The sequence below is a fragment of the Homo sapiens genome, chromosome 17 (genome assembly GCF_000001405.40).
Source record: "Homo sapiens chromosome 17, GRCh38.p14 Primary Assembly".
In the NCBI taxonomy this organism is placed as follows: Eukaryota; Metazoa; Chordata; class Mammalia; order Primates; family Hominidae; genus Homo; species Homo sapiens.
In genome coordinates, this window is record NC_000017.11 from 30,402,946 (window position 1) to 30,425,551 (window position 22,606).

Sequence of the window (22,606 nt, forward strand, 5' to 3'; positions counted from 1 at the left end):
AAAATACAAAATTAGCTGGGCATGGTGGCACATGCTTGTAATCACAGCTACTCAGGAGGCTGAGGCAGGAGAATCGCTTTAACCTGGGAGGTGGAGGTTGCGGTGAGCAGAGATAGTGCCATTGCACTCCAGACTGGGCAACAAGAATGAAACTCCATCTCAAAAAAATAAAATAAAATAAAAATAATAATACTTGTCTGTTTGTGCCATCAGGGAATGACCCAGTTAGGTTCAGCTGCAAGTTTTGACTCGCCTTATGTAAGCTGTAATTCCAATGTCAGTTCAGTTTTCAAAGCCTTTATAGTGCTATTCAGATCTGTACTGTATGTGCACCACTCAGGGGCCAGTCTGGGTGCTGGGCAGTAACCTGTTTTGTAGTTCAGTTCTCAGTGCTTTTGGTGTGCTGTTTAAGGTCAGACCTGTACATGTGCAGTTTAGAGATGATCCCAGGTGGTCACAGGCAATTTTATGAGATCCCTTTCTCACATTCCCTCATATCTGCCATCTCACTAAAGTCTCTGTCTTCCAGGGTCTCCAGTATAGAAGATAAATAAAGACATGAAAGATCTCCTTTCATGGGAAAGAAAGGATGTGCAATATCATTTGTTATCAGTGAAATACAAATTAAAACCACAATTAGATACCACTCGTCTTCCACTAGAATGCTTAAAATTTAAGAGACTTTCCAGTGGCATGAGCAACTTGTTAGGTGATGATGCAGAATAACTAAAACATGGATACATTGCTGGTGGTAATATGAATATGGTACAACCACTTTAGAAAACAATTTCTTACAAAGTTAAACTTACTATAAGATCCCTCCATGCCACCTCTAGATATTTACCCAAAAGATAGGAAAACATATGCCCACATTAAGATCTATGCACAGCTTTAATCACCAAAAAACAAGAAACAACTGAAATAACCATCACATGATGAACAGATAAGCAAATTGAACTACTTTTATTCAATAGAATACTTAGTAATGTAATGGACCATTTATATATGAAGAATATAGATGAGTCTCAAAAGCATTATGCTAAGTGAAAGAAGCCTAATACAAAAGGCTATATACTATATGATTTTATTTATATGACATTCTAGAGAAGGCAGAAATATAGGGAAAGAAATTAGATTAATGGTAACCCAGGGTCTGGGAACCTTCTGGGATATAGAAATGTTCTGTATTTTTATTGTGGTGGTAGTTATGTGACTGTATACATTGCACTGTACATGTAAATGGGATGAATTTTATAGCATATAAGTTATTATACCTCCATAAACTTGACTTTTAAAAAGGCTTTAAAGCACCGTGTTAACTAGATTGTCAAAATTCTTTTGAATCATTTACTTAATACTTAAGTGAAAGGAAATTATTTAAGAACCTCTGTATGCTTCAAAGAAGAATAAAATTCAAAGTATCATGCAAAAATATTTGCCTTGTATATGCCGTTTTATAACCTTTTTTGATGCATGGTAAATATCGTGACAATAAATATATGCCTGCAGTAATTTAAATGGCTGCATAGTAGCCCATTTTATATCATAATTTACTAAACTGGTCTTTCATTTTTGAACATTTAGATTGCTTCCAGTTTTATGCTCTTTCAATTTGAATACTATAGCCCTCATCCTTATAGCTATTATCTTGGAATAAATTTCTAGAAAAGGAATTTCTGGTTGAGGTCATACCTATTTTAAAGATTTTATATTCATATTACTAAATTTTCACCCAGAAATGTTCTATAATCCTTTGTCATCTCTTTTTTTTCTTTCTTTTTAATGAAAGACACTTCATCTTTCATTTTCTTTAAAATTTCTGATGGCAGCTTTTTGGCCAACAGATATTTTACTAGCTTTTTGGTAGTTGAATCTGTTAGGTAGTTAAATCTTTTAGGTAGTTAAATCTATTCATCTATTATTCCTCTCATGGTTTTATACTACTTTGTTGTCATACTTAGAAGGGCTTTCCTCATTCTGAGAGAGTAAAAACATTTATGTTGGCTTCTGGTTTCATTAATGGCTTCATTTTTATGTTAAATTCCATATGGATTAAAGAGTTTACTTGGTATGATACTGTAAACCAAAAAGTATCTGTCTCTAAGATGGGTCTCAATCAATTTAGAAGTTTATTTTGCCAAGGTTAAGGACATGCCCGGAAGACATAAATACAGTCACAGAAACCGTCTGTGGTCTTTCCCTTTCTCCAAAGATGACTTTTGAGGGCTTCAATATTTAAAGGGGAAAAGTGAGCTGGAGGGGAAAGAGTAAAGGTCATCCACATAGTGCAAGAGAAAAGGAGCAGTTGGGGGAATAGTCAATTATGTATTCATCTCATGCTCAGTAAATGGGCACTTTTCATGAGATAAGGTGAACATGAAAGAGCTACCTGTGGAGATATTTACCCCTTTATCTGTAGCTATCTGCTTAGGAACAAAAGGAAAGGCAGCTTCTTGCATGACTCAGCTTTCAGCTTAATTTTTTTCTTTTGGCATAGTGAATTGAGTGAATTTGGCATACCTTTCACAATATGATGTAAAACTCCACCAGTATTTTTTGCCACCTAGTTAACCTAGTCAACCACTTTTAACCATGTAAGAGTTACTAATTTTTTCCCCCATTGGTTTTAAATACCTTGATCATATTCCAAATGCTTTTGTTTCAGTTACTGTGATTTCTATGTTGTTCCGTTGGTCTCTTTATTTTTATACCTGAAGTGAACTGCTTTAGTAAGTGTAGTTTTATTATATGTATTTTAGTAATATGGCAATGCAGGTCCCCTCTTAAACCACTCTTATTTTTTAATTTTTTGGGAGATATTCTCAGCCATTTCTCAGAAATTCTCACAAAGTTACTGGTACAGTTTAACTTCTAAATCATTATGTCCAGTTGCAACAAAAAAATCTATGTTTTCATAATATTTATAAATTAATTTGGGGAAATTTGATATTTTTATAAGCCTCTTATCTAGAGGCATAATACACTTTACTAAAATCTCCTACATCCCTCAGTAGCATTTTATAATATTGATTTATATTATGCATTTTATTATACTTCATCCTATACATTTTGTGATTTCGTTGCTGGAAACTTTTTAAAAATTATATTTGCTGATTATTGCTGAAATACAGTAAAAAATATTGATTTTTATATTGTTTTTAAGTAGTCATCTTTTTATTTCCAGTGTCATTTTACATGACTTTTTATTTAACTTAAATATGGTCTTATCAAAGAAAAATTTGGGGACTGTATGTCAGGATTCAACTAATATTTTCTATTTCCATTAGATTTTACACTGTGAAGCTAATATTAAAATCAGTCTATAAGACCTAAAATAAAAGAGGCTTGTCTCCATGAATCTGACTTTTAGTAATTGTTTGTAGAGATATATATTAAAAAGTCAATATTTATATTATATGCTCTGTCAAACTAAGGATGCTAAATGTATTTTCTTCTCTTGGAATTAAGTCTTATTTTAAAATGATTTCTGTCCTTCCTCCCTACTTGCTACCTGGGGGATATATTTGTATGTGTCATTAGATGGAATTCACAAGTTATGGTCCAATTAAAGTTACCTTTAAAAACCTGATTAGGTAACACTCTAAAATGTTACTGTAAACTTGATCTTCTTGCTGGGTCTTAGCTAGTATTTCTTAAATTGCTGCTAAAATAGGACAATTAAGGGATAGACAAAAGAATGCTAGGACTCAAGCCTGGGGATTATAGTGTTACTCTACGTCATTGCCTTCTAGCATAATGAAAGTGTGAGTTGGCCATGTTTGCAAATTAACACAGCTATTAAATTTTACATATGCAAAAAAACCCTTAGATTAGTTTACATTTATATGGCCCTGAAATTGTTATTATTATTTTTTCTTTTTTATTATACTTTAAGTTCTAGGGTACATGTGCATAATGTGCAGGTTTGTTACATAGGTATACATGTGTCATGTTGGTTTGCTGCACCCATCAGCTTATCATTTACATTAGGTATTTCTCCTAATGCTATCCCTCCCCCAGTACCCCACCCGCCTACAGGTCCTGGTGTATGATGTTCCCTGCCCTGTGTCCATGTGTTCTCATTGTTCAATTCCCACCTATGAGTGAGAACATACGGTGTTTGGTTTTCTGTCCTTGTGATAGTTTGCTGAGAATGTGGTAGTTTCCAGCTTCATCTATGTCCCTGCAAAGGACATGAACTCATTCTTTTTTATGGCTGCATTGTATTCCATGGTGTATATGTGCACATTTTCTTAATCCAGTCTGTCATTGATGGACACTTGGGTTGGTTCCAAGTCTTTGCTATTGTGAATAGTGCCGCAATAAACATACATGTGCATGTGTCTTTATAGTAGCATGATTTATAATCCTTTGGGTATATACCCAGTAATAGGATCGCTGGGTCAAATGTTATTTCTAGTTCTAGATCCTTGAGGAATCGCCACACTGACTTCCACAATGGTTGAACTAATTTACACTCCCACCAACAGTGTAAAAGCTTTCCAGTTTCTCTACATCGTCTCCAGTATCTATTGTTTCCTGACTTTTTAATGATCGCCATTCTAACTGGCATGAAATGGTATCTCATTGTGGTTTTGATTTGCGTTTCTCTGATGACCAGTGATGATGAGCATTTTTTCCTGTGTCTGTTGGCTGCATAAATGTCTTCTTTTGAGAAGTGTCTGTTCCTTTCCTTTGCCCACTTTTTGATGGGGTTGTTTGTTTTTTTCTTGTAAATTTGTTTAAGTTCTTTATAGATTCTGGATATTAGCCCTTTGTCAGATGGGCAGATTGCAAAAATTTTCTCCCATTCTGTAGGTTGCCTGTTCACTCTGATGGTAGTTTCTTTTGCTGTGCAGAAGCTCTTTAGTTTAGTTAGATCCCATTTGTCTATTTTGGCTTTTGTTGCCATTGCTTTTGGTGTTTTAGTCATGAAGTCTTTGTCCATGCCTATGTCCTCAATGGTATTGCCTAGATTTTCTTCTAGGGTTTTTATGCTTTTAGGTCGTACGTTTAATTCTTTAAAACATCTTGAGTTAATTTTTGTATGAGGTGTAAGGAAGGGATCCAGTTTCAGCTTCCTACATATGGCTACCCACTTTTCCCAGCACCATTTATTGAATAGGGAATCCTTTGCCCATTTCTTGTTTTTGTCAGGTTTGTCAAATATCAGATGGTTGTAGATGTGTGGTGTTATTTCTAAGGCCTCTGTTCTGTTCTGTATCTGTTTTGGTACCAGTACTATGCTATTTTGGTGACTGTAGCCTTGTAGTATAGTTTGAAGTCAGGTAGCATGATGCCTCCAGCTTTGTTCTTTTTGCTTAGGATTGTCTTGGCTATGCAGGCTCTTATTTGGTTCCATATGAAGTTTAAAGTAGTTTTTTCCAATTCTGTGAAGAAAGTAATTGGTAGCTTGATGGGGATGGCATTGAATCTATAAATGACCTTGGGCAGTATGGCCATTTTCACGATATTGATTCTTCCTATCCATGAGCATGGAATGTTCTTCCATTTGTTTGTGTCTTCTTTTATTTCATTGAGCAGTGGTTTGTAGTTCTCCTTGAAAAGGTCTTTCACATCCCTTGTAAGTTGTATTCCTAGGTATTTTATTCTCTTTGTAGCAATTGTGAATGGGAGTTCACTCATGATTTGGCTCTCTGTATGTCTGTTATTGGTGTATAGGAATGCTTGTGATTTTTGCACATTGATTTTGTATCCTGAGACTTTGCTGAAGTTGCTTATCAGCTTAAGGAGATTTGGGGCTGAGACCATGGAGTTTTCTAAATATACAGTCATGCCATCTGCAAACAGGGACAATTTGAGTTCCTCTTTTCCTAGTTGAATACCCTTTATTTCTTTCTCTTGCCTGATTGCCCTGGCCAGAACTTCCAACACTATGTTGAACAGGAGTGGTGAGAGAGGGCATCCTTGTGTTGTGCCAGTTTTCAAAGGGAATGCTTGCAGTATTCAAAAAAACTGGCACAGTATTCTTGTGCCAGTTTTCAAAGGGAATGCTTGCCCATTCAGTATGATACTGACTGTGGGTTTGTTATAAATAGCTCTTATTATTTTGAGATACATTCCATCAATACCTAGTTTATTGAGAGTTTTTAGCATGAAGGGCTGTTGAATTTTGTCTAAGGCCTTTTCAGTATCTATTGAGATAATCATGTGGTTTTTGTCATTTGGTTGTGTTTATGTGATGGATTACATTTATTGATTTGCATATGTTGAAACAGCCTTGCATCCCAGGGATGAAGCTGACTTGATCGTGGTGGATAAGCTTTTTGATGTGCTTCTGGATTCGGTTTTCCATTATTTTATTAAGGATTTTCGCATCGACATTCATCAGGGATATTGGTCTAAAATTCTCTTTTTTTGTTGTGTCTCTGCCAGGCTTTGGTTATCAGGATGATGCTGGCCTCATAAAATGAGTTAGGGAGGATTCCCTCCTTTTCTACTGATTGGAATAGTTTCAGAAGGAATGGTACCAGCTCCTCTTTGTACCTCTGGTAGAATTCAGCGGTGAATCCCTCTGCTCCTGGACTTTATTTGGTTGGTAGGCTATTATTGCCTCAATTTCAAAACCTGTTATTGGTCTATTAAGAGATTCAACTTCCTCCTGGTTTAGTCTTGGGAGGGTGTATGTGTCCGGAAATTTATCCATTTCTTCTAGATTTTCTAGTTTATTTGTGTAGAGCGGTTTATAGTATTCTCTGATGGTAGTTTGTATTTCTGTGGGATCGGTGGTGATATCCCCTTTATCATTTTTTATTGCATCTATTTGATTCTTCTCTCTTTTCTTCTTTATTAGTCTTGCTAGCAGTCTATCAATTCTGTTGATCTTTTCAAAAAACCAGCTCCTGGATTCATTGATTTTTTTTGAATGGTTTTTTATGTCTCTATCTCCTTCAGTTCTGCTCTGATTTTAGTTATTTCTTGCCTTCTGCTAGCTTTTGAATGTGTTTGCTCTTGCTTCTCTAGTTCTTTTAATTGTGATGTTAGGGTGTCAATTTTAGCTCTTTCCTGCTTTCTCTTGTGGGCATTTAGTGCTATAAATTTCCCTCTACACACTGCTTTAAATGTGTCCTAGAGATTCTGGTATGTTGTGTATTTGATCTCATTGGTTTCAAAGAACATCTTTATTTCTGCCTTCATTTCGTTATTTATCCAGTAGTCATTCAGGAGTAGGTTGTTCAGTTGCCATGTAGTTGTGTAGTTTTGAGTGAGTTTCTTAATCCTGAGTTCTAATTTGATTGTACTGTGGCCCGAGAGACAGTTTGTTGTGATTTCTGTTCTTTTATATTTGTTGAGGAGTGTTTTACTTCCAATTATGAGGTCAATTTTCGCATAAGTGTGATATGATGCTGAGAAGAATGTATATTCTGTTGATTTGGAGTGGAGAGTTCTGTAGATGTCTATTAGGTCCACTTGGTGCAGAGCTGAGTTCAATTCCTGGATATCCTTGTTAACCTTCTGTCTCATTGATCTGTCTAATGTTGATAGTGGGGTGTTAAAGTCTCCCATTATCATTGTGTGGGAGCCTAAGTCTCTTTGTAGGTCTCTAAGGACTTGCTTTATGAATCTGGGTGCTCCTGTATTGCATGCATATGTATTTAGGATAGTTAGCTCTTCTTGTTGAATTGATCCCTTTACCATTATGTAATGGCCTTCTTTGTCTCTTTTGATCTTTGTTGGTTTAAAGTCTGTTTTATTAGAGACTAGGATTGCAACCCATGCATTTTTTTGCTCTCCATTTGCTTGGTAGATCTTCCTCCATCCCTTTATTTTGAGCCTATGTGTGTCTCTGCACATGAGATGGGTTTCCTGAATACAGCACACTGATGGGTCTTGACTCTTTATCCAGTTTGTCAGTCTGTGTCTTTTAATTGGAGCATTTAGCCCATTTACATTTAAGGTTAATGTTGTTATGTGTGAATTTGATCCTGTCATTATGATGTTAGCTGGTTATTTTGCCCGTTAATTGATGTAGTTTCTTCACAGCATGAATGGTCTTTGCAATTTGGCATGTTTTTGCGGTGGCTGGTACTGGTTGCTCTTTTCAATGTTTAGTGCTTCCTTTAGGAGCTCTTGTAAGGCAGGTCTGGTGGTGACAAAATCTCTCAGCATTTGCTTGTCTGTAAAGGATTTGATTTGCCCTTCACTTACGAAGCTTAGTTTGGCTGGATATGAAATTCTGGATTGAAAATTCTTTCTTTTAAGAATGTTGAATATTGGCCCCCACTCTCTTCTGGCTTGTAGGGTTTCTGACGAGAGATCTGCTGTTAGTCCGATGGGCTTCCCTTTGTGGGTAACCTGACCTTTCTCTCTGGCTGCCTTTAACATTTTTTCCTTCATTTCAACCTTGGTTAATCTGACAATTATGTGTCTTGGAGTTGCTCTTCTTGAGGAATATCTTTGTGGTGGTCTCCATATTTCCTGAATTTGAATATTGGCCTGCCTTGCTAGGTTGGAGAAGTTCTCCTGGATAATATCCTGAAGAGTGTTTTCTAACTTGGTTCCATTCTCCCCGTCACTTTCAGGTACACCAATCAAATGTAGATTTGGTTTTTTTACATAGTCCCATATTTCTTGGAGGCTTTTTTCGTTTCTTTTTACTCTTTTTTCTCTAATCTTGTCTTCTCGTTTTATTTCATTAATTTGATCTTCAACCACGATAGCCTTTCTTCCACTTAATCGAATTGGCTATTGAAGCTTGTGCATGCGTCATGAAGTTCTCGTACTGTGGTTTTCAGCTCCATCAGGTCATTTAAGGTCTTCTCTACACTGTTTATTCTAGTTAGCCATTCGTCTAACCTTTTTTCAAGGTTTTTAGCTTCCTTGCGATGGGTTAGAACATGTTTCTTTAGCTCGGAGAAGTTTGTTATTACCAACCTTCGGAAGCCTACTTCTGTCAGCTTGTGAAAGTCATTCTCCATCCAGTTTTGTTCCGTTGCTGGCAAGGAGCTGCGATCCTTTTCAGGAGAAGAGGCGCTCTGGTTTTTGGAATTTTCAGCTTTTCAGCCCTGGTTTCTCCCTATCTTTGTGGTTTTATCTACCTTTGGTCTTTGATGTTGGTGACCTACAGATGGGGTTTTGGTGTGGATGTCCTTTTTGCTGATGTTGATGCTATTCCTTCCTGTTTGTTAATTTTCCTTCTAACAGGCCCCTCAGCTGCAGGTCTGTTGGAGTTTGCTGGAGGTCCACTCCGGACCCTGTTTGCCTAGGTCTCACCAGTGGAGGCTGCAGAACAGCAAATATTGCAGAACAGCAAATATTGCTGCCTGATCCTTCCTCTGGAAGCATCATCCCAGAGGGGCACCTGCCTGTATGAGGTGTCTGTCGGCCCCTACTGGGAGGTGTCTCCCAGTCAGTCTACATGGGATCAGGGACCCACTTGAAGAGGCAGTCTGTTCATTCTCAGAGCTTGAATGCCATGCTGGGAGAACCACTGCTCTCTTCAGAGCTGTCAGTCAGGGACGTTTAAGTTTGCAGAAGTTGTCTGCTGCCTTTTTTTCAGCTATGCCCTGCCCACAGAGGTGGAATCTATAGAGGCAGTAGGCCTTGCTGAGCTACGGTGGGCTCTGCCTAGTTCGAGCTTCCCAGCTGCTTTGTTAACCTACTCAAGCCTCAGCAATGGCAGACGCCCCTCCCGCCATGAGGCTGCAGCCTCGCAGGTTGATCTCAGACTGCTGCAGTAGCAGTGAATAAGGCTTCGTGGGTGTGGGACCCACCGAGCCAGGCACAGGAGGGAATCTTCTGGTCTGCTGGTTGCTAAGACCATGGGAAAAGCACAGTATTTGGGCAAAAGAGTACTGTTTTTCCAGGTACAGTCTGTCATGGCTTCCCTTGGCTAGGAAAGGGAAATCTCCCCACCCCTTGCACTTCCCAGTTGAGGTGACGCCCTGCCCTGCTTCGACTTGCCCTCCGTGGGCTGCACCCACTGTCCAACCAGTCCCAATGAGATGAACCAGGTATCTCAGTTGGAAATGCAGAAATCTACCCCTCTTCTGTGTCAATCTTGTCGATCTTGCTGGGAGCTGCAGACCGGAGCTGTTCCTATTCGGCCATCTTGGAAGTGACTGAAATTGTTATTTTTATGTGTTCTCTGTTTTGCTTCCTCACCAAGACTCTAAACTCTGGATGGAAGTATATCTGTTGTTTATAATTCCCAATAGTCTTAGTATAATCCCTTACACACAACGACCATTGTATTGTGACCAATGTAGTAGTAAAAATTGGAAAAGATTTTCAATAAATATTATGACAATGAATGCACGTGTGTTTACGTGTATATGTACAAGTTAAAGTTACCAAAGATGATTATAGGTCAGCAATGACTAAAGGTGACTAATATCATAATGACTAAATATGGCTTGGTAGGGATAGGAAAATCAGCATCTTACCCATTTCCTGCCAGACTCAAGGTGAATAAGAGAAAGCTAAAAGATTGCCTTGCCCTAGGAGACAAGGTTAAGACCGAGTTACTAGGCTTATGGTGGTCATAAACCTGCAAATATTCTGAGAAGTCAAAGTCTGTTTGACATCCCCATATGGATATTCAATGGGCATTTCAAACTTAATGCTTTAAGAACAAACATCTTAATTTCCCATTGCTCCAACCTCCTTTTATTCATTTAACATATATTTATTGAAGGGCTACTATGTGGCAGGTACTGTTTTAGTCTTGGAATGTCCATCAATGGGCATAACAAAGATCTCTGCCCTTGTGTTGTTTATAATCTGGCAGGGAGAAACAGGCAGTAGATAGTAAACACAGTAGGTGAATTGTTAAGTGTTGTAGAAAAAGCAACAAGGTAGAAAAAGGGTAAGAGGAACTGGGAGTGCTGGTGGGATGGGCTTGGGGATAGTGATGGAGAGATGTAAGTAGCAACTTCAATTGGGGAGGTCAGGATGACCTGACTCCATTGTCAGGTTGAAATTGGAGCAGAGAGCTGGGGTTGAGGGAGTTAGTCAAGTAGTAAGGTTATCCGGGGGAAGAGCATTCCAGCAAAGGGAACAAGTAGAGCAAAGTCAGGAGGTACTTAGAGTATCCCGTGAACAGCAAGGAGGCCATGTGTCTGCTGCAGAGCCAGTGATGGAGAGAGTATAAAAGGAGGTTTAGGAAGGAAAGCTGGGTGATGGGGATCAAATCATACAGGGCCTTAGGCCACTGAAAAGACTTTGGCTTTTAGTCTGAGTGAAATACGGGGAGTCTCTGAACTGTTTTGAACAGAGAAATAACATCTGACTTGCATTTTAACAGAATTACTCTGGCATCTCTGTTGAGTAAAGAATATAAAACGGCAAGGGCAGGAACAGGGGAACCTGTTAAGAGCAATTGCAGAGGCTGGGCGCAGTGGCTCATGCCTGTAATCCCAGCACTTTGGGAGGCCAAGGTGGGTGGATCACGGGGTCAGGAGATCGAGACCATCCTGGCCAACATGGTGAAACCCCGTCTCTACTAAAAATACAAAAATACAAAAAATTAGCTGGGCACGGTGGCGGGCGCCTGTAGTCCCAGCTACTCGGGAAGCTGAGGCAGGAGAATGGCATGAATCCGGGAGGCAGAGCTTGCAGTGAGCTGAGATCACACCACTGCACTCCAGCCTGGGTAACAGAGCGAGACTGTCTCGGAAAAAAAAAAAAAAGAGTGATTGCAGAAATACATGCAGAGAAATGGCAGTGGCTTGTACAGGGCCACAGCAATGGACATGAGGATGAACATATTTTGGATTCTGAACATATTTTGAAGTTAGAGTCGGCATGGTTTTCTGACACTTTGGATATAAAATGTGAATCCAAGGCTTTTTGCCTGAGCAACTATTTAATAGAAGAATGAAAGTGCCATTAACTGCAGTGGGAAAGACTGTGGGTGGAGCAGGTTTGGAGAAGATAAGTAGTTCAGTTTTGGATATGTTAAGTTTGTGATATCCAAGTAAAGATTTTGAATAGGCAGTTGGATGTACAAGTCTGGAGTCTGGGAAGAAATCTAGGCTGGGGACAGAAATTTGAGGGTTGTCACCCTGTAGATCATGTTTAAAACCACGGGACTGTATGAGTTTCATTATACCAAGGAAATAAGTAGTAAGAGAAGAGGACCAAAGGCAGAACCTTAGGGATGCCACCTCTGTTGCCTTTGTTCTCTTTCATCTTTTCAGTAAATGGCACTACTATCTCCCTGATTTCTCAAGCCTAAAATCTAGAAGTCGTCCTTGATTTCTTCCTTCTACATCCAGACCCGTCCTCTTTGTCTCCACTACCACCAACCTAGTCCAAGTCACCATTATCTTCTAATACATCTCCATGCTTCCCCATTTGTCCCCCTACAGTCATTTTCCATCCAGCAGTCAGAATGATCTTGACAGAATGAAGGTAATTCTAATTGTATCACACCTCTGTGCAAAGCCTGCCAGTGTTCTGCACAGCAAACATTGTGAATGAATGTTCTGACTCACAAATCACTGTGAAATATTGTCCAACGTGAAACAGAGTGAAAAGGCAGCCTACAGAAAGGAAAAAAATATTTTTTTCTTAGAATAAAATATTCTAATAAAATATTAACCCCCTAAAAAGGGGTTAATATCCAGAATATACAAAGAACTCCTACAACATAACAATAAAAAACAAATAATCTAATTTAAAAATGGGCAAAGGACTTAAATGGACATTTCTCTAAAGAAGATATACACATGGCCAACAAACATTGAAAAGATGCTCTACATCATGAATCATCACATACCCATGTTCATTGCAGCATTATTCACAATTACCAAGAGGTGGAAGCAATTAAATGTCAATTGACAGATGAGTGGATAAAGAAAAGTTTGTATATACAAAAAATGGAATCTTATTCAGCCTTAAAAAAGAAGGGAATCCTATCATATGCTATAACATGGCTGAACCTTAGGGATATTATGCTAAGTGAAATAAGCCAAAAAGACAAAATACTGCATGATTTCACTTATATGAAGTATCTGAAGTAGTCAAACTCTTAGAAACAGAAAGTAGAAAGGTGGTTGCCAAGAGCCGGGGAGAGTGGCAAAAGGGGAGTTGTTTATAATGGATATGGAGCTTCATTTTTTGCGAGATGAAAATGTTCTAGGGCTGGGTGCGGTGGGTCACGCCTGTAATCCCAGCACTTTGGGAGGCCAAGGCGGGCGGATCACCTGAGGTCAGGAGTTCGAGACCAGCCTCAACATGGGGAAACCCTGTCTCTACTAAAAAAAATACAAAATTAGCCGGGCGTAGTGCTGCATGCCTGTAATCTCAGCTACTCAGGAGGCTGAGGCAGGAGAATTGCTTGAACCTGGGAGGCGGAGGTTGCGGTGAGCCGAGATTGAGCCATTGCACTCCAGCCTGGGCAACAAGAGCGAAAGTCCGTCTCAAAAAAAAGAAAATGTTCTAGAGCTCTATTGCACAGCAATGTGGATATAGTTAACACTATTGTACTGTACATGTAAAAATGGTTAATATGGTGAAATTTGTATTATGTGTTCTTTAGCACAATAAAACAAAAACCAAATCCCTCCTGTGGTTCCTACTGCACTTAGAATAAAATCCCCAACTTCTTGCCCTAGCTGCCAAAGCTGTTTATGATGTTGTTTTGCCAGAATCCCTCGACCTCAACTTGTGCCATTCTTCCTTTGTCTGTTATTGTCCAGCCACAGTAGCTTTCTTTCTATTCCTTACACTTACCAAACTTTTCCCCCTGCCTTTGAAATGTTCTTCCCGCTGACTTTTACCAGGCTAGCTGCATCTTGTTTTTCAGATCTTGACTTAATGTTACCTCCTCATGAAGGCTTTTTATAACTACCTAGTCTCTAGTTGCCACCAATCACTAGCTGTATCACATCACTCTACTTAAATTTTCTAGGCCGGGCGCGGTGGCTCACGCCTGTAATCCCAGCACTTTGGGAGGCTGAGGCGGGTGGATCACGAGGTCAAGAGATGGAGACCAGCCTGGCCAACATGGTGAAACCCCGTCTCTACTAAAAATACAGAAAATTAGCTGGGTGTGGTGGCATGAGCCTGTAGTCCTAGGTACTCGGGAGGTTGAGGCAGGAGAATTGCTTGAACCTGGGAGGTGGAGGTTGCAGTGAGCCGAGATCGCGCCACTGCACTCCAGCCTGGTGACAGAGTGAGACTCAGTCTCCAAAAAAAAAAAAAAATTCTGCATAGCACTTCTCACTATCTGATATTTTTCTTATTTATATTTGTTTACTGTCTGCTTCCCCTATGTAAGAATTCTATAAGTTTTTTATATTTTAGAATTTAAAGTTTTTAAATTTTAAAAGAATGTTACGAGAAAGCAGGGACCTTGTCTGTTTTGTTCATCACCATATCCCCAAGCACCTAGAATAGTGCCTGGCATATACTAGGTGCTCAATAAATATTTGCCGAAAGAAAACTGAACTTCCTAGTCTTAAATGATCATTTCTTGAAAAGGACTACTCTTCTCCCCAAGCTCCAGACCTGTCTTTTTGAATTCCTTCTTGGGTATTTCTGTCTAAATATTCTACAAATACCTCAAATTCAACATGCCCCTTTCTGCTCAATTACTCTTACAGACCTTATTTTTTCTGTTAATGGCATCATCATTAGCCCAATTGATCAGGCCAGAGGTCCTCTTTGATTCCTTTCTTTCTCTCAACTCCCACTATCTATCAGATCCTGTCAGTATCTTGTCTCACATCTTTCCCTTCTCTTCCACAGAGTTGCTACCACATCATTTTAGGCCTAATTACTTTTTACTTGTATCATTGTAAGAAACTGCCTAACCGGGCTTTTTGCTTCCAATCCCCCACGCCTTTCCAGACCATACTGTCTTCTATTCATCATACTACTTTTCTGTTCAAAACTAACAAATGAAATGCCATTTTTTTTTATGCTTTGGAAAGCCACGGAAAACTTTATCCTCAGCCTCCTTTAGACCCTACTTACCTTTCCAGCCTCACCATTCATGACATCCCTGCAGCTCTGTGCTGCTGCCCTCATTCTGTGGCCTTATCAGCCTCATAGCTGGTGGTCACATACACCAGCAGCCTCCACCTTTACAAAGCCATTTTCCCTGACTGCAGTGCTCCTGAACCCCCGCTCCTTTTGGCTGACTTACAGTTTTATCTTTAAGATATAACTAAAAAACTGCCTCCCCAAGAAGCCTTTATAGATCTTCCCTCAACTCCAAAATTGAAATTAGTGGCATAGACCCATAATATCTCTATTATTAATATCATTTTTTTCTTTTTTTTTCCAAGATAGGTCTTACTTTGTTACCCAGACTGGAGTGCAGTGGCGCAATCTTGGCTCACTGCAGCCTTGAACTCCTGAGCTTAAGCAATCCTCCCACCTCAACCTCCTGAGTAGCTATGATGACAGGCATGTGCCACCATGCCCAGCTAATTTTTTTGTATTTTTTGTAGAGATGGGGTTTTGCTATGTTGCCTAGGCTGGTCTCAAACTCCTGAGCTCAAGCAGTCTGCCCAGGCTTCCAAAATATTTATTGAGCACCTACTATATGCCAGGCACTATTCTAGGTACTGCCCTCAGCCTCCCAAAGTGTTAGGATTACAGGCATGAGCCACCTCTCCCAGCCTATTTCATTTTTTAAATTGTGGTAAAGTATACATAATATAAAATTTACCATTGTAACTGTTTTTAAGGGTACAATTCCCTTGCATTAAGTACATTTACATTGCTGTACAACATTCACCACTGTCCTCTGCTATCATATTTAATTATTTATGGATGTAGTTGTCCCCTCCTCTGATTGGAAACAAAACGCTTGGCGTTATTTGTAAGTGCTGAATTAACATGGATGAACATGAATATAATCAGATCATCTCCTGAGATGAGATGTCATGTCACAAGTATCCTTGTGATCCTGCTTGGGTAACTTCAGGATTGTGTTCAGTTTTCTTCCTTGTACTTATTCAAAATGGCATTGGTTAGAGTTCACGGAGTCCTGGATTTTTAAAGGTTCTTTGCCTAATTTCTTCTTTACAAGTTTTTGGTGCGTACACTTAACCTAACTTTTTTGTCTTACCAATATCTATCCTATAAATATGCCAGTGAAATGGAGCATATTGCGTTAGGTAAGGTGTGCATATTTCAAGAACTAGATGTGTTTCAAAGCACATAATGAAACTTCAGCAAAAATGAGATTAAGAGTTTAGGCTCCAATAATATTGCTGCGATTTTATTTCTGTCAAAGTTTTGTTATTTTTGCTGTATTGTTTGCTTTTCTTCAATGTTTTGTAAGCCCCGGTTCTTTGATGAACTCCTAATAAGCTGTGCTTAAAACTATGACATTGACCTTTCTCCAGAAACAGGTTTCAGAATTGTCTGTTTTTCATGTTCTCTCCCTGCCTTTTCTCTTGTAATCAAATCAGCATGTTTTTGTTTTTGTTTTGGAGACAGAGTCGCACTCTGTTGCCCAGGCTGGAGTGCAGTGGCACTATCTCTGCTAACTGCAACCTCTGCCTCCTGGGTTCAAGCGATTCTTCTGCCTCAGCCTCCCGAGTAGCTGGGACTACAGGCACGTGCCACCACACCCAGCTAATTTTTTGTATTTTTAGTAGAGACAGGGTTTCACCATGTTGCCCAGACTAGTCTCAAACTCCTGAGCTCAGGCAATCTGCCCGCCTCCACCTCACAAAGTGCTAGGATTACAGGCATGGGCCATTGCACCCAGCCTAAATCAGCATGTATTTTTAAACATCATAGAATGCGAGGGTTTGAAGTGTCTTTTGTGATCATCTAACATTCACTTTGCATATAAATAAATAAATAAAGACCCATGTTAATGCCAAAGGGAGTGAGTGGCAGAAGAATCTATGACGGAAGCATATCTTTTGGTGCTGTCAATGAAAGGGAAACAAATGCTTGGCATTATTTGTAAGTGCTGAATTAACATGGATGAACATGAAAATAATCAGATCATCAGTTATTCTCCCTCCTGATCTGAAGGATCCTGTGTGACATCATCTGAGATGCACTGGGGGTTGAGGAAAGATGACCCTTAAAATCCACATTTGTACTTTCCAAGAGCAAGGTGAGATCATAGAGAAGTTACACCCGCTCCTTTCTCCACTTTTTAGTCTTTATCCACTAAAAACAAGATGTGAGAAAATCAAGTGACAAGAATGATAGGGTAATAGGCTGTCAACAAAATGAGTGTGTGGGCTTATATAGGTATAAACATGGTGAAGGTGATAGACCATGGATGCTTAGTCCCTTTTAAGTTCCATCTTCCGTTTAACACATTTTGAAAGAATTTATTGTGTCTTATTTTCCCCTGATTTGTGTAGCTGTGCCACCCTAGATAACAGTTTTTCTTTTTGCTCTTGCCACCTTCTTGATAAAGGCAAGTACAGTTAGAATCGTAGGTACTTAATAATGCTTCGGCATGAATATGCTTCACAACTTTGAGATGTGTACCCTTTATTTTCTTTCTGTTATAAATCTTAATTTCTTTGTGCCCTACTTTTCATATCTGTAAAATGGATGAAATAGTAGTATCTGCCTCATATAATTGCTGTAAAGATTAAATGCTAATACACATAAAGCTCTTAGAACAGGTCTGGTGTATAGTAAACACACAAAGCTGCTATTATTATTGTTACTGGTATTAACTGATATATTCATACTTTTTATAACTGCTCATCCTATTAATTAAATGTATTTTTTCACTATATATTCTTTTTCAATGTATATTCCTTTTAATCTTCCTTCTTAGCCTCCACTATAGTTCAGATGCCTTCTCCAATTTCAAACAATTTAATGAAAAGAAAAGAAAATTTATACATCCAGAGATGGCTGATTTAATTTCTTCAGTCTTTTGGAGGGTAGAATTATTTTCCTTCTGAGAGTAAACTTATTTTTTCTATGTTACAGGTGGTATGCAAGATTACAATTATGTGTGGGCCAACTGTTTTGAGATCACATTAGAACTGTCTTGTTGCAAGTACCCACCTGCTTCACAGCTTCGACAGGAATGGGAGAACAATCGTGAGTCTTTGATCACATTGATTGAAAAGGTAAAAGTAGATGACTGGAATGTTGGGGTATAGAAACAGGATTAAATAAGGGAGAAATTTGGATGCATGTGAATGATAATCTATACAGTATTAGATGTCATTTATCTCTTTTTATTACTTAAGATTATAAATTATCTTTAAAGATTATTAGATTATAATCTATTAAAACATATTCTAGCTCTGCTTCCCCTGCCCCTTACCCCCAGCTCTCTGCTCCATAGGGCTTCCTTTTCCTATCTTGGAACACTTACTTATACAAACTGAAATAATTAGCCAAATTTGTACTCTCAGGTTCTTACAATGTCATGTGATCATATTTGCTAGTGAGCCTTTACCACTATATGAACCATAGACATCAGTTTAATTTAAACATCACCCAGACTAATACAGCAATTGAATACACCAGCAGTTACACCTTGTTGAGAAAATTAGAAATCTGGCTTTGAGGAGAGGGAATTTTAAAAGCACCTTACTAGTGTCGAGTTCAGACATATGACTTAAGTTTAAGGATTTAATACTTCTGTCTGTATTTTATTTAAACTTCAAGGGATTGAAAATGTTTTGGGGGAGAGAGAAGAGTCACTTTATTTTTTAGAAATTCTAGTATCGGTGCAGAGAGAAATTATGCGCTCTTGCCTTCCAAATTCACCGTCTCTGAGCTTGGATTCTTGTCTTCTTAGGTTCACATTGGAGTGAAAGGATTTGTTAAAGATTCCATAACAGGATCTGGGTTAGAGAATGCAACCATCTCAGTGGCTGGTATTAATCATAATATCACAACAGGCAGATTTGGTGATTTCTACCGATTACTTGTTCCTGGAACTTACAACCTTACAGTAGTTTTAACTGGGTAAGAATTTAAACTATGTAGACTCTTAGTTAAAATGTCAAGTCTCTGTTTTATATCTGAGACAGAAATATAGTCTAGTACATGTTGTTTATTTTTTGTGGCTTTTATTTTTCCTTATTTTCTGATTTTTCTCGTTTTATAATAAGAAAATACTATTGTGGAGTTTTTTGTCACATAGTCTAATAGTACAATGGGATGTGAAGCATAGTTGTAGCATTAGAGGAAGGACAATTTTTAAAACTTGAAAAGATATTCAGCTGTGTAAAGCATTGCCTTAAAGCTAACCGAATACCAGAGTAGAAGAAACCCATTGCTCTGTAAATGACATTTTGAAGAACTGTCTTATCAGCTTTCTAATATATTAAATGAATGGTTTCCCACCTCCCCTGGAAAGCTTTCTGGAAGCTCACTTTGATAAGGATTTAATTGATAACCTTTAATCTTGAGCTTTCCTACTTGAAAAAGAAGTTGGAATGTCAGTTTGATAAGACACTGCAAAGAATTGTGTAATTTATCCCTTCTTTGAGTACTGTAGCAGTGGTTACAATGGAGTAACAACCACATCTTTCAACATGTTCTTTCCTTTGAGTGTAATTTTTTTGGTATACATTCTAGTGTGTGGTACTTGAGAAGATTTGGTGAGAGAAATAGTTGTTCAATCTGGGGTTCTTTGTGAGATAATGTCCTAAAACTCTTAAATTTACACATCTCTCTTTATTTAGTTTGAGTTTTGATAGATCGCTAAGTGTAAGAGGATGAAAAGGCTACTGTGCTTTTATAATATTAAAGCATTGTATGTCTTAACTATAAACCATTTACTTTTTCAAATTTTTTTTTCAGGTATATGCCATTGACTGTTACTAATGTAGTGGTGAAAGAAGGACCAGCCACAGAGGTGGATTTTTCTCTTAGGCCAACTGTAACTTCAGTAATCCCTGACACGACAGAGGCTGTATCAACTGCTAGCACAGTTGCTATACCTAATATTCTTTCTGGAACATCATCCTCCTACCAGCCAATTCAGCCAAAGGACTTTCACCACCACCATTTCCCTGATATGGAAATCTTCTTGAGAAGGTTTGCCAATGAATATCCTAACATTACCCGGCTTTATTCCTTGGGAAAATCAGTAGAGTCAAGAGAACTTTATGTGATGGAGATATCTGATAATCCGGGTGTCCATGAACCAGGTAATTGGTATGGTCTTACACATAATTTCAGTAGTGCCCCTCAAAGCCATGTTCAATATTGCTATGTTTCATTCAGAAAGGTCGCCTACAGTTTGTATAACTGGCATTAAGAAAACCTAACTAAAATTAAAAGAAAGCAAAAAAGAAAATGTAACCAATCTTTTCCCAGAAGAGAAGGAAATCCTTTTGCTAACCCATATTAGGCATGGTATTTAATAAGTGCATAGATTAGATTTATTCTGCTAATAGTGTTTTATTTATTTATATTATATAGCATATATATGCTTTGAGCCTGCTCAGACATATGTATTAGTAAGGAAGCTGCTTTATAAGATGTTTCTGAAGGTTTTTTCTGCCTCCTTTGCCAAAATACATGTTTAAAAAATTTTTTAGTATAGGATTTATATATGTTGCGGAAAAAAACTGAGTCCATGATGATTAAGAAGGAAAAAAAGCCTTCCATGTAATTATTTTGTTTTCAGGTGAACCAGAATTTAAGTACATTGGAAATATGCATGGAAATGAAGTGGTTGGAAGAGAACTGCTGTTGAACCTCATAGAATACCTTTGTAAGAACTTTGGAACAGACCCTGAAGTCACAGATTTGGTTCATAACACTAGAATTCACCTTATGCCATCCATGAATCCTGATGGGTATGAAAAGTCCCAGGAAGGTAAAGAATAGCATTTAATTCTTAATCATTTGATCATCATATAGAATGATTATTTTGATGGAGAAGAGAATTTGAACTGGTTCTTTTGGAATTTCTTCCAATTTTTTTTCCTTTTAATTTATGATTGATTTTAGCTCTTGTATTCTTATATGATGATCTGGTCTGTTCAACAATTAGGTGATCAAATTTATATATTTAGTGGTGTCTTCCACTTGGTAATGGTTCTAATTTACTAGAAATAGAGTATAAGACTTTTATAAATTGTTTTATTTTAGCAATAGTTCTGTTGACAAAGAGTCAAACTCTGTAAAATATTTGAAGAGATTTATTCTGAGCCAAATATGAGTGACCATGGCCCATGACACAGCCCTCAGACCCAGAGGACATGTGTTCAGGGTAGTCAGGGTGCAGCTTGGTTTTAAACATTTTAAGAAGACATGAGACATCAGTCAGACACATTTAAGATATACATTGGCTTGGTCCAGAAATCGGGCGAGGGTTGAAAGATTTATTATCAATCGAAAGGAATGTCTGGGTTAGGATAAGAGGTTGTAGTTACCAAAGTTTGATCATGCAGATGAAGCCTCCAGGTAGCAGGCTTCACAGAGAATAGATTGTAAATGTTTCTTATCAGACTTAAGGTCTGTGTTGGTATTAATGCTGATTGACTTTTCCTGATTTCCAAAAGAGAGGAGGCATAATGAGGCATGTCTGACCCCCATTTCCCATCATGGCCTGAACCAGTCTTTCAGGTTAACTTTGGAGTGCCGTGGTCAAGAGGAGGGAATCTGTTGAGATAGGCCCTGCCTATTGAGCGGGGCCTTAGAATTTTGTTTTGGGTTTACAGTTCTTATTAAATCATTATTTTGGGAACCTTATTTCATAAGTGAAAAACCAAACCAGATATCTGTCTGAGTCAGTGACTCTGTTTTGACTCTCAGTTCTACTCCCTCTGCATATTCCAGACTTGCTAATTTATTGACTTCTCATTTCTTTGCCTTCCCTGGGCAAGCCCATCTCTCCTGGGGCGTTATAGTGTGGGATGGGACAGCAGACCCTTATGCACAACACTAGGGGAGTAAGAATTCATCTTTTCCCAGCCCATGATTTCTTCCAGGCAATGATATCTATCAGGCACCATAGTATAATATGGAGCCTCATGACTTATTACTAGCACTGACCTGACCATTGGGAGGATCAGTTGGTCATTAGTTGGTCATTAGTACCCAGAAGTTGGTCATTAGTACCCCAGAAGCTCACTTGAACAAATAGGCACAAGATCTTACTTATATATGTATATATTTCAGATTTTTCCCCCTAAGGTTCTCATTCTTTGTCAGTGCCACAAGTCCCTTCTACATACTCCCCAGACCTTTCTGAAAGGTGGAACTAATTACACTAGTGAGCCCTCCAGTTTTCTTTAGTCTCTTGCAATTTTTCTCATTATAATGACAATAGTAAGGCTCCCACTCCCTATTAAAATGGAATATGCACAGTTAAGCTTAAATTGAACTTTCTCCTCCATCAGGTTAAACTTCCAGCTGTGCTCTTGGCTAACTTTACCTTTTTGTGATCACTTTAATGTGAGCATATCACAATTTTCTTTTCATTTGCTCTATTTCTTACAATGTCTTAGTGAGCTTTATACAAGTACAGAGAGGAGTATAGAGTTCCTGGCCAGGCGTGGTGGCTCATGCTTATAATCCCAGCACTTTGGGAGGTCGAGGTAGATGGATCATTTGAGACCAGGAGTTCAAGAGCAGCCTGGCCAACATGGTGAAACCCTGTTTCTACTAAAAATACAAAAAATTAGCTGGACGTGGTGGTGCACACCTGTAATTCCAGCTACTCGGG

General features: G+C 38.5%; 1 protein-coding gene across 2 annotated transcripts in view, besides 1 other annotated feature; it reads left to right on the forward strand.

Annotated features, from left to right (window-relative positions):
* CPD (carboxypeptidase D) overlaps positions 1-22,606 on the forward strand; it is a 91,063-nt gene that overhangs the window by 24,019 nt on the left and 44,438 nt on the right. For both annotated transcript variants that reach the window (NM_001304.5, NM_001199775.1), the window contains exons 3-6: positions 17,896-18,038; positions 18,719-18,888; positions 19,729-20,078; positions 20,561-20,752. In NM_001304.5, coding sequence (NP_001295.2) covers positions 17,896-18,038; positions 18,719-18,888; positions 19,729-20,078; positions 20,561-20,752 — 855 coding nt within the window. The remainder of the gene's footprint in view (positions 1-17,895; positions 18,039-18,718; positions 18,889-19,728; positions 20,079-20,560; positions 20,753-22,606) is intronic.
* Positions 2,059-2,730: an enhancer, noted in NCBI's record as "OCT4-NANOG hESC enhancer chr17:28732022-28732693 (GRCh37/hg19 assembly coordinates)". NCBI's record gives its function as "activates a minimal SCP1, AML or CMV promoter by ChIP-STARR-seq in naive H9 embryonic stem cells {active_cell/tissue: H9 hESC(naive)}" and the evidence as "EXISTENCE:reporter gene assay evidence [ECO:0000049][PMID:30033119]".